The sequence below is a fragment of the Homo sapiens genome, chromosome 5 (genome assembly GCF_000001405.40).
Source record: "Homo sapiens chromosome 5, GRCh38.p14 Primary Assembly".
Taxonomy (NCBI): Eukaryota; Metazoa; Chordata; class Mammalia; order Primates; family Hominidae; genus Homo; species Homo sapiens.
In genome coordinates, this window is record NC_000005.10 from 72,863,356 (window position 1) to 72,875,979 (window position 12,624).

Consider the following 12,624-nt stretch of genomic DNA (forward strand, 5'->3'; position numbering starts at 1 on the left):
CCTGTAATCCCAAGGCCTAGGTGGGTGGATTGCATGAGTTCAAGACCAGCCTGGGCAATATGGTAAAACCCTATTAGAAGAAATTGGCCAGGTGTGATGTGTGCCTGTGGTCCCAGCTACTCAGGAGGCTGTGGTGGCTCACACCTGTAATCCCAGCACTTTGGGAGACTGAGGCAGGTGGATCATTTGAGGTCAGGAGTTTGAGAGACCAGCCTGGCCAACATGGTAAAACCCCATCTCTACTGAAATACAAAAATTAGCCAGGCATGGTGTCGAATGCCTGTAATCTCAGCTACTCTGGAGGCTGAGGCAGGAGAATTGCTTGAACCCAGGAGGCGAAGATTGCAGTGGACTGAGATTGCACCACTGCACTCCAGCCATCTCAAAAAAAAAAAAAAAAAGGCTTTGGAAATACACTGATAAGATTACAGATTACAGAAAAGCTAAATAATAAGTCATCATGTGACAGTTGATTGCATTTAAATAGTGCTTTGGTGTGATGGTAATAACATAAAAGAAGATCAAAATTTTAAGCAAGTGCTTTCCAAGAATAAAAAATTTAAGCTGCAGTAATTGTGAAATTGTTGAGCTAGTGTACTACATAGAAGTCATACTGTAAATAAACAATATTCCCATCCATCTGAACTAAAGATAGTGGTTTTCCAGATGTTGGTATGGAGTGATAGCTAAATGTTTGTTCTTATTTGAAATTTTTAATTGCCACATGGGTAACAAGTTCACATTTAATTTGATGTAATAGGCTTTCAGAAGTAAAGCTTTTTTAAAAAAAAAACCTTAACAATTGAATATGACTATTTTAGCATGTTAATTAAAATTCCTGATATTTAATGCATATTAAATTGAAGTTTGAAATTTAATATATTGATTAAATTTTAGACTTAAAAATATTTTCAGATTTAATATTTTTAAGATATTATAAAATCTAAAAGGATGTTGGGTAGTTTCCTTAAAGGATTTTACCTTCTGTTGGACACTTTAAAACTGTACTATGGAGAATAAGCATCAAGTTGCCGCTGATGGAATTATATAGTATAAACAGTAAAGTAGGTGGGTGGGTAACTAGTAGGTTACATGTTATGTACAAAGTCTCTGGATTATCCCCTTTAGTATTAAAATGATTATAGGAAAATGGTTGCCAATTTGCACTGCCTGCCCTTGCAACAGATTTTGTCACCAGTTACCCAGTGAATACTTTTATATGTAAGTAACTTTTTTTTTCTATATGTAAGTAACTTTTTTTTCCTTTTTTTGAGACAGAGTTTTGCTTTGTCACCCAGGCTGGAGTGCAGTGGTGCCATCTCGGCCCACTGCACCCTCTGCCTCCCAGGTTCAAGTGATTCTCATGCCTCAGCCTCCAGAGTAGCTGGGATTACAGGCATGCACCACCACGCCCAGCTAATTTTTTTGTTTTTAGTAGAGACAGGGTTTCACCATGTTGGCTAGGCTGGTCTTGAACTCCTGACCTCAGGTAATCCACCCGCGTCGGCCTCCCAAAGTGCTGGGATTACAGGCTTGAGCCACCACACCTGGCCTAAGTAACTTTTTAATGGTATTAATGACCTCTCTGTGCTTCAAAAAGAAAAGTATTACAGTGGTTAACTACTCTTCTATGTAAATGTAGAGTTTTATATTTAATTTAAACAAACTGATATTTAATTCCTGCCAACCAAAATATCCTCCACTTCTAAGTCATTTAATGCTAAAACTAAAATATACCCTTGTATTTTAACTGAGATTTTTACATACTCGATGATATAATAATTTGTTTTAAAATTGAATATTAGAGCGGGCATGGTGGCCCATGCCTGTAATCCCAGCACTTTGGGAGGCTGAGGCAGGCGGACCAGCTGAGGTCAGGAGTTTGAGACCAGCCTGGCCAACACAGTGAAACCCCATCTCTACAAAAAATACAAAACTTAGCCGGGCACAATGGCAGGCACCTGTAATCCCAGCTACTCGGGAGGCTGAGGCAGGAGAGTCACTTGAACCCGGGAGGCAGAAGTTGCAGTGACCCGAGATGGTGCCACTGCCAGCCTGGGCGACACACCAAGACTCCGTCTCAAAAAAAAAAAAATTGAAGGATTAAATTTATGGATTTTAGAAGGCATTTTATGTGGGCTGAGAACATTAGTCCATACAAATTAATCAGCATTCTTCAGTTTGTTTTCAAATGGCTTCATTTTTAACAAATTCTGATAATTTAAATGTGTCTCTTACAGGGAGCATTTGGTGCCCTTCAGAAGATTTGTGAAGATTCTGCTGAGATTTTAGACAGTGATGTTTTAGATCGTCCTCTCAACATCATGATTCCCAAATTTTTACAGTTCTTCAAGCATAGTAGTCCAAAAATAAGGTACTTATATTGCCAGTACTAATTGATTAACTGTGATATAAACCTGACCATTATCTTAGTTTTCATTACCTAATATTTTTGACATTAGCAAAAGATCAAAAGATATTGGATGTTCCAGAGAGGTGAACTTATGTAATTGAAATTGACTACTTCAGTAACAAAACCTGTGAAATGTTGACTCTTTGTGAGGAAATTTTTGTTAAACATGATAAAAGTTTTGTGCCTTTTACAGTGGTTAATTATATTCATGATAGTTAACAGGCATCTTCTAACTTCCTTTATTTAAGGCCAGGATTAGTTGTGGGTTTTTTGTTTTTGTTTTTGTTTTTTTAGCTTTGATTTTAGAATCGGGATACATGTGCAGGTTTGTTACAAAGGCGTATTGCGTGGATGCTGGGGGTTTAGAGTACAAATGAATCCATCACCTAGGTGGTAACCATAGTACCCATTAGCTAGTTTGGCCCTCTCCCTCCCTCTTCTTATATTCCCCAGTGGCTGTTGTTCCCATCTTTATGTCGAGGTGTACCATATGTTTAGCTCCCACTTATAAGTGAGAACATGCAGGTATTTGGTTTTCCATTATTACAACATTATAATAATGTTGTTATTTCTGGCATAGTTAACTGGATAGGAGTTCACGTTTCCAGGAAGTTTCCCCCTTTTAACATTTTAACTAAGATAATGAAAATGTGGCAATATACATACTTCACTTTTTGTGACTGATTCTCAGTAATAAAAAAACAGCTGGGCCTGGTGGCTCATACCTGTAATCCTAACACTTTGGGAGGCCCAGGTGGGTGGATCGCTTGAGCTCAGGAGTTCAAGACTAGCCTGGGCAACGTGATGAGACCCCATCTGTACAAAAAATATAAAAATTAGCTGGGCATGGTGTCACACACCTGTGGTCCGAGCTACTTGAAGGGTCAAGGTGGGAGGATTGCTTAAGCCCAGAAGAAGGAGGTTGCAGTGGACTGAGATTGTACCACTGCACTCCAGCCTGGGCGACAGAATGAGACCTTGTCTCAAAAAAGAAAAACAGAAAAAATTCAAAAATCATATTTCTGGTAATCGATACACCATTGCTGGATATTAAATATTAATAAATATTTTTTCACGATTTTTATTTTGTAGATGGTCATTTGATTAAAATGTTAGGTAAAGTAGAGCAATTCAGAAATATTTCACCTAAAATCACAGCGCTTTGGGAGGCTGAGGCAGGAGGATTGCTTGAGGCCAGGAGTTAGAGACCAGCCTACGCAACATAGCAAGACCCTTTCTCTACAAAAAATAAGTTTAAAAAATTAGCTGAGTGTAGTGGTGTATGTGCCTATAGTCCTAGCTACTCTGGAGGCTCAAGCAGGAGAATCAGTTGAACCCAGGAATTCAAGGCTGCAGTGAGCCACTGTGCTCTAGCCTGAGTGATGGAATAAGACCCTGCCTGAAAAAAAAAAATTCCTTTCCATGAATGTTGATTAATACCCATTTGAGATTCTGTTGTACATACTTTTAGCATTTTTCTCTTTAATGTATATTTGGGTAATAACTATCTACTGTAAATATATACTAAATGTATCATCCATCTTTAATATGATATTCTACATTATTTAATACCTTATTAATGTAGTTTAACTGACATTTACTATGTACTCTTAAGCGTTCTCTCTCAACGTAACTGTTGGACTTCAAGAATATAAAATTAGAGTATAGGAAACTATATTGCCTAGTTCTATAGGCAGTGACTAAGCAATTTAAAAATAAGAACCATTTTATCAGACTTGAGGTACTCAGAATTGAATTATTCTTAGTTGATGACATTCTCATCATGGCCTACTCGTATTTAGCCTTTAGTTATATATTATTTTTAATAACATAAGCAATCAGATCCACCACCTGAAACAAAATGAAGACCTTGACAACAGTCTACATCTAAGTCACAATTTCATACTTCCCTTACATTTCTTGATAGATAATTTTATTGCATGCATATGCAAAGGGTGAGATATATCTTAGTTTTTAGCATTGTAAGAACTGCACAGTACTGAATGTAGACATAGGCAACTTTAATGTTATGTTGCATTCATCTGTACTGAATCACTATAGCTCATTTTGACTCCTCTGTAATATTCCATTGCATGACAATTAGCATATTTTTTAAGTGTTGCCAATCAAATAGATATTTGGTGTTTCATTATGGTCTTGATAATACTTTGCTATCATTAATGATGTTGAAGATCTTGTATGTTTATTGCCTTTATCTTGTTGTTGTCTCTTCCTTTTTTCTACTAGGTTATTTGTACTCCATTGATTTACAGGAATTCTCATCCTTTATCAGTTATGTGTGTAGAGAATATCTTAATCCTTTTTTGTCTTTACTAAGAGTTTAAAATGTTAAGGGCTTTTTGACATTTAAGAGCTTAATATGGCCGGGCGCGGTGGCTCACGCCTGTAATCCCAGCACTTTGGGAGGCCGAGGCAGGCGGATCACGAGGTCAGGAGATCGAGACCATCCTTGCTAACATGGTGAAACCCCGCCTCTGCTAAAAATACAAAAAATTAGCCGGGCATGGTGGCGGGCACCTGTAGTCCCAGCAACTCGGGAGGCTGAGGCAGGAGAATGGCATGAACCTGGGAGACGGAGCTTGCAGTGAGCTGAGATTGTGCCACTGCACTCCAGCCTGGATGACAGAGCAAGACTCCGTCTCAAAAAAAAAAAAAAAAAAAAAAAAAAAACACAAAATAATATATCAGGCATTTGTGGGTGTGTTATGGGGTAGATAAACATTCTGTCTTTTCCATTTATGTAACTTTTTCTTGCTGTCACATTTATTTTATAGTCCCTTCTCCCCATCAGTTTAAAATGTCACCTCTGTTATATGCTTAGTTATATGCGTGCATAGGTGTATTAATGGGCCCTCTATTTTATTCTATTGCTGTTTCATGACTAAAGCTTCAAATTGAATTCTGATATATCTTAGAGCAAAAATTGGAGTGTTTGAGGCTTTTTTCTTTTTTTAACAAGTTGCAGTTACTTAAAGTTTAGGCTGGGCGCGGTGGATCACCTGAAGTCAGGGGTTCAAGACTAGCCTGGCCAACATGGTGAAACCCTGTCTCTACTAAAGATACAAAAAATTAGCTGGACGTGGTGGCGGGTGCTTGTAATCCTAGCTACTCGGGAGGCTGAGGCATGAGAATCACTTGAACCCGGGAGGCGGAGGTTGCAGTGAGCCGAGATCGTGCCATTGCAACTCCAGCATGGGCAACAAGAGCAAAACTCCATCTCAAAATAAAAAAAGTTTATAACATATTGCAATGAATTTCTACACAGCAAGGAAAGAGTTGTACAAACAGCTCAAACTATATTAAGATAATTTTTCCGTATTTTTATTGTGTTCTGGCTTATCTCAACTTGAAAAAAATTTTGGGTAACGTTACTCCTATTTATAAGGTAAATTTATATTATGTCCCAGAATGGAATGAAAATAAGGCCTACAGTTTTACAACATATAAAATTGGCAGAACTTTTAAAATAATAAATGGCAGGGCGTAGTGGCTCACACCTGTAATCCCAGCACTTTGGGAGGCTGAGGCGAGTGGATCACCTGAGGTCAGGAGTTTGAGACCAGCCCGGCCAACATGGCAAAATCCTACCTCCATTAAAAATACAAAAGTTAGCCTGGCATGGTGGCATGCACCTGTAATCCCAGTTACTTGGGAGGCTGAGGCACGAGAATCACTTGAACCCAGGAGGCGGAGGTTGTGGTGAGCTGACATTGCGCCACTGCACTCCCTCCTGGGTGACAGAGTGAGACTCCATCTCAAAAAAATAAATAAAGACAGTTTTACCTTATAAAAATATGAGTTGAAGAAAGGCTAAAAATCAGAATTTGACCTGGAATATGCAGACTTTCAGGATGAGAAATTAGAATTGAAAATATACATGATTTAACAGAATTACTCTGAGCTTACTAAATACCTCAGATGCTTCTGGGGGAATATTTTCTTATAATCTATAAGGAAGAGATCATATTGGAGAAAAATTCATTCTTCACAAACAAATGCCATTTATATAGTATCAGACAGATCTAATTAACAAATTGATATTGATTATGAATATGTGACATGAGTAATTATTCTGCCTTTGTTATTGCCTTTGATCACCAGAAATCAATACAAGGAAGTTTTATTTTTATATACACAGATATCCATAGCATTCCAAGTTTATCATCTGTATTTCTGGCCTAGATCTGATTCCTTTTATTGGGAAATGATATTTAGAGCTTTCAGTAGGACAGTAGGAATGCCTTTTCTCTTCCTTATAAATTCTACAGTTGTCAAGTTTTATGAAAAGCCTTGTTGGAATTTACGTTGGAATAACATTAAATCTGTGGATCAATTTAGAAGAAATAGTCATTTTCACAATACTAATTGCTTTTTTTTTTTTTTTTTTTGAGACGGAGTTTCACTCTTGTCTCCCACACTAGAGTGCAATGGCATTATCCCTGCTCACTGCAACCTCCACCTCCCAGGTTCAAGCGATTCTCCTGCCTCAGCCTCCCAAGTATAGCTGGAATTACAGGCGCATGCCATCACTCCCAGCTAATTTTTTATTTTTGGTGGAGATGGGGTTTCACCATGTTGGCCAGCCTGGTCTCCAACTCCTGACCTCAGGTGATCCGCCCACCGTAGCCTCCCAGAGTGCTGGGATTACAGGCGTGAGCCACCGTGCCCAGCCAATTGCTTGTTTTTAATGAAGTTTTCTACTTTTCTTTTTAGAGGCCTTGAACATATTACATATTAAATGTATTCCCAGGCACTTACTTGGTCTTATGATACTATTGTAAATGGTAGCATTTAAGTTACACTTTCTAGTTTTTTCCTTCATTGCTGATGTATAGAAACTATATTAAACTTCCAAAGAAAGCACGTCACACTGTTTCTTTTAATTTAAAATGTAAGTCCTAACTGTTCCCAAGTTTCTAAAAATGGTTTGGGGAGGCTAGTAGTAGGTGCCTCTGGAGGTTGGGGATAGGAGAGATTTCTGCCTTTAAATTTTGCCTTACATGCACACAAAAAAAATGCAAGTTAAAAGATTTCTGTTCTTGATTTAAAGGCCCTTTAAAAGACTTTATTGTATTTTTTTTCCATTTGTTTACTATGCCAAGTACTTAACATATATATTAGCTCATGTAGTTTAATCCCCCCAACAAATGAATGAATTGTAGGTTGCTGTTGTTTTTGAGACAGAGTTGGTTTTTTTTGAGACTGAGTCTCTCTCCATCGCCCAGGCTAGAGTACAGTGGCGCGATCTCGGCTCACTGCAACCTCCGCTGCCCGGGTTCAAGCGATTCTCCTGCCTCCTGCCTCAGCCTCCCGAATAGCTGGGATTACAGGCATGCACCACCAGGCCCGGCTAATTTTTGTATTTTTAGTAGAGGCAGGGTTTCACCATGTTGGCCAGGCTGGTCTAGAACTCCTGACCTCAAGTGATCCGCCCGCCTCGGCCTCCCAAAGTGCTAGGATTACAGGCGTGAGTCACTGCGCCCAGCCAGTAGTAGTTTTATAGAATGAGAAAAACACACTTTAAAGCATAGGTAGCTTACCCTGTGTTGAACATTTAAGGGGTTGAGCTCCCCATAGTATGCTTTTTTCACTTAATGTTATCTTGGTAAATGTTTATGTGCTTTGCTGTAACTGCAGAACCAAAAATCAACTGTTTTTGGCACAGTGGTTAAGACAAAGAAAGGTTTTCATGGGGTTATATTTCAGAAGAGGAGACAGGACAGATAATGAATAAGTAATATGATTTCATACAGTCATGAGTACAATGGAAAAATAATGAGATCAGGGATAGACAGTGATTCAGAGATACTTTATGTAAATGGCTGTCTGTAAAGGAAACGTTTGTGCAAAGACTGAACAAAGTAAGGAAGTGAGTCTATGAAAGATGGTGAAGGATGTTTAAGACAGAACAGCAAGTGAGAAGTCTCTGGAATTAGGAATCAGCCTTTTAGAGTGACAAAAGAAAGAAACTTTGGGTTGTAGCAGCATAATGGGAATTGAAGTTAGGGGGTAAGGGAGGAGCCACAGTATAAAGGAATGTCTAGGCAAGTAGTCAGCAAACTATGTCCCATGGAGCCAAATTTAGCCCATGACCTGCAAGGTAAGGATGATTTTTAAATTTAAGAGGTTGTAATTAAGAGGGAAAAAAATGACAACAAAGGTCTTCATGTGGCCCATAAAGCTTAAAATATTTACTGTTTGACCTTTTGTAGAAAAAGTAGATTAAGTTTTATTGCAGCAATCTGAATGAGAGTATAGTGTGGTCTGTGTGTGTCAAACAGGCTGTAGTGGGGTTTGGCACAATGGAAGTCAGGAAACCAAGTACAGCCTATTTCATTAACCCTGGTAAGAGATCAGAGATCATGGCTTGGTTGAGAGAAATGAAAGCAGTGAGAAATGATTAGATTAAGAGTAAATTTTTAAAGTTGGTGTCAATAAGAACTGCTGAGCAATTGAATTGCATATGCCAGAACACATGGACTATTCTCCATTTTTAGTTTCAAAAGGAATGTTTACCTATCATTTTTAAATCTGTAGGCATCTAAAAAAAAAAATTTTGCCCCTCCCCAACCTCCACTCTTTATGGGTATGCACTATTAAAAATTTGCACATGTCCTTTCTAACATTTTTCAGTTGCTTAGAAATACATATTGCTCTGCAGCTTGCGTTTTGCACTTAGTATATCATTCAAATTCTTTCCTTGTTGATACAGAAGTTTGACGTATTCTTTTTAGTGGGTATATTGATAGACATATCATAATATTTTTATGGAGGAATGTTTTTACCAATTTTCTATAGATAGAACAAAGTTACAATGAGCATATGTTAAATTTTAAACTTTGTTTCTAGGTCTCACGCTGTTGCATGTGTCAATCAGTTTATCATCAGTAGGACTCAAGCTCTAATGTTGCACATTGATTCTTTTATTGAGGTAAGACTTGTTCTTGTCTCCCTCCCAACCCCCCAGCTTTTTTTTTTTGAGAAGGTTAGGTGATGCTAACTGCATGTAGTTTTGCTTTAAAACAAGAATCATTTATAATTCTAAACTCAATATTTAATTAAATTATTTCTGATAGTATTAAAACTGGATATGGGATAGACTAACTTTTGTTAGCTGAGAAGGCACTTTTACTAATTTTTCTACTTGTATCATTCTACAAACACTGATTTTGGTGGCGGGGTATGTTTAGTATCTTGACTACTTTAAAAATTTTTCCTTCAATATACTGTTCAAATTGCATATGGAAACCAAGTCCCTCAGCTCATGCAGTTTTTGAAATGTGAAAAATTGGTGAGGTTAGATTAAGTTCATTTGGTAGAATCTGAAGGCACAGACTACAAGGACAGTATTTTCCATTGGTTTCCATTGTAAAATTAGAGGCATCAGGAAAAATAGACTCTTTAGGCATTTTGAACTTTCTGATAAAAGTGGAAAGAAAAGAGCATAATTTTCTGGCCAGGAACCATAAGCACCACAATTTCTTCTCAAAATCTCTGCTACTTGATAACAATTAAAAGGATTGTTAAAGTTCCTTAAGCACCTTCACTTTTATTTTCATGAAATGGAATTTTAAAAGTCCCTTAGAAGTCAGACTGCTGATACTACTGTTGGGAAATTATAAGGAAGAGTAGGGGGGGTTACGTTACTTTTTTTCTCGTCACTTAAATTGACCAGCTTCTTTCTGAGCATCTTTTACCAATAAACTAAGAGTAGTAGCCATAAAGATCCTTTAGCCATTTACAAGTTAAAACCAAAATGTGTCTTAAATAGTTTTACTGACTACTACCTACTATGGAACAGATACTGTGTTTGATACTAGGGATACTTAAATTTTATGCCTGCAAGGTGTTTTCTTTCAGTCTAGTCTAGAGGTAGTATAATGTAGTGGATAATACTAGAGGTCTGGAGTAGACTATTGGTGTTCAAATCCAGCGTCTCAGTTTAGTAGCTTTTAACCTTAGATGCTTTATTTAACTGATGTTTTCTTTATATCATCTGTAAAATGAGTCAATAATTGACCTACCTTGTTGGATTGTTATAAACCTAGTTGATATAAGTAAATTGGAACAATGGCTGCCACAGAGTAAGCAGGCACTTCATGTTAGCTATTAAAGTATTAATAGTAGTATTTCTGTTGCAATTATCCTGGTGTTTTCTTTTAGTATTACTCTTTCACAGTTTAATAAAGGGGACAATGATAGACATACCAGCACCTTATAAGGAAATATAATCTAAAATAAATGAAATTGAATTATCTCTGAAAATAAAAATTTCATAGGACGGTACTCAGCAAGTGAGGCAGAAACATTTTCTAACATTTTAAAATATTTTGCTTTACTATTAAATATGTTAATATTTGTTTACTACTTGATAGTCCTACAGGATTTAGCCAATTCTCTACCCTACAAAAACAGTAAACCTCTGGAGGAAGTGCCTCTAACATATAGTAGGCCCTCAATAGCAATTTGCCAAGTGAATAAGTAAACTGATTTTCTTCACTTGCCATTGTTTTCATGGTATCATGTCTGCTAAGTCTAACATATTGATGAAAAGTTTATTGGTTACCAGTACATGGCTATAATGTATAACCTTGGCAAAGCTGGGTATTCATTGACAGTAGTAACAAAAGTGACAAATGCAAGATGATGGCATTGGGTATCCCCACCCCCAACCCAGTTGCTGTTCTCTAGAGTAAATTAATGAAATCTTTTAATAAAATTTAATGGAGGATGTACTGTTAATGGCAATGCCTGCTGGGAAAATAGTGCTCTTTTGTATGTAAAATACAATTAAAACAGGAACTACGTAGTTTTGAGAGTGTCAAATGTGGAAGCAGGACTTGGGGAAATCAACATTTTAAAAATGCTGCAATAGTACTTCACACAGTGTCCCATTTGATCGTTGAATTTCTCCTCTTTCTTATAATGAGATTTTAGGTTCATTTTGTAGAGGATTTCTGTGATTTCCTGGAAAAAGACAGTGGGACACATTGGATGTTACTTAACTTTTTAAATGCTTGTTTTACTGCTTTTAATACATGTATGTGTAAATAAAGTAAGACTTTATGTGTGACATGAGGAAGGCTTCATTGTGTTTTCCTCTCACATCCCCACTCTGAGAGATGTCTTTTTCTTCTAGTGGAAGCTTGTTGGTGTAGGGAAATGAGTGTGTGAACTCTGATTCCATGAAAGCCAGATTCAGATCTTCTGCTGGTTATCAAGTTACTTAACTTCTATTAATTTATTTCCTTATTTGTAAAATTGAATAATAACGTCTTAGAGTTTTGAAGATAAAATAGTCTGTTGTCCATTCAGACATTGCTTTTTACTTGCAGACGTAGGGAACAGCATAATATTTATTACTAATTTTATGGAACAACATCAGTTTAGGGTTAAGTTAGAAAATCAGTGTATACTAATATTTGTCGATTATTGAATCTGTATCACCTTTTTATAAATCTTGAATCTATTACCACCTCTCACCTTAAAAATCAGGGTTGGTAGGGAATAGTCTTTTGTCTCTGCTTCTGGGTGAGCAAACAAATGCTCCTATGTCCTAATGACATGGTTTCTTAAAAACTAAAAATTTCCTCAAAGTACAGCTGATTGTACTCTATCAGAAAAGAATAGCTCTTCATCTTTTATCAAAATCATAATCTTTGTCAGTTATTCCACATTTAATTCTTGTAATCTAATATTGTAGGCCAATTCAGTCAGTTTTTGGTACCTTTGTAGGGTTTCTTTAAATGTCACCAACTTGCAGATTACTTATTACTTGTGTGTAAGCCTTTCTAAAACTAGAAAAAATTATTTCTTGTGCAACAGAATCTCTTTGCATTAGCTGGTGATGAAGAACCAGAGGTACGGAAAAATGTGTGCCGAGCACTTGTGATGTTGCTCGAAGTTCGAATGGATCGCCTGCTTCCTCACATGCATAATATAGTTGAGGTAACACTGGCAATTTAAAGGCTCTTTCATCATCTTTCCCCTAAGAGAAATACTAGATAGAAAATACAACATACCGGATGGGAAGGGGACTATAAAATAGTTATAATTGTCTTAAAATTATAAGTTATCTTTGTGGGGAGTTTTGTATTTCTGGGTATAGTTGTACATACTGTATAACTTTGGAAGTGTTTTAAGTAGTATGTTATCTAGAGCCTCCTTTTCACTTCCAAAGTTCCATATGG

General features: G+C 37.0%; 1 protein-coding gene across 10 annotated transcripts in view; it reads left to right on the forward strand.

Annotated features, from left to right (window-relative positions):
- TNPO1 (transportin 1) overlaps positions 1 to 12,624 on the forward strand; it is a 97,728-nt gene that overhangs the window by 46,695 nt on the left and 38,409 nt on the right. For 9 of the 10 annotated variants that reach the window (NM_001364292.3, NM_002270.4, XM_005248501.3 and 6 more), the window contains 3 exons: positions 2,241 to 2,374; positions 9,284 to 9,365; positions 12,260 to 12,382. In NM_001364292.3, the coding sequence (NP_001351221.1) occupies positions 2,241 to 2,374; positions 9,284 to 9,365; positions 12,260 to 12,382 (339 nt within the window). Of the gene's footprint in view, positions 1 to 2,240; positions 3,494 to 9,283; positions 9,366 to 12,259; positions 12,383 to 12,624 lie in introns of those variants that run through there. The other variant, NM_001364296.2, reaches the window with a different exon arrangement.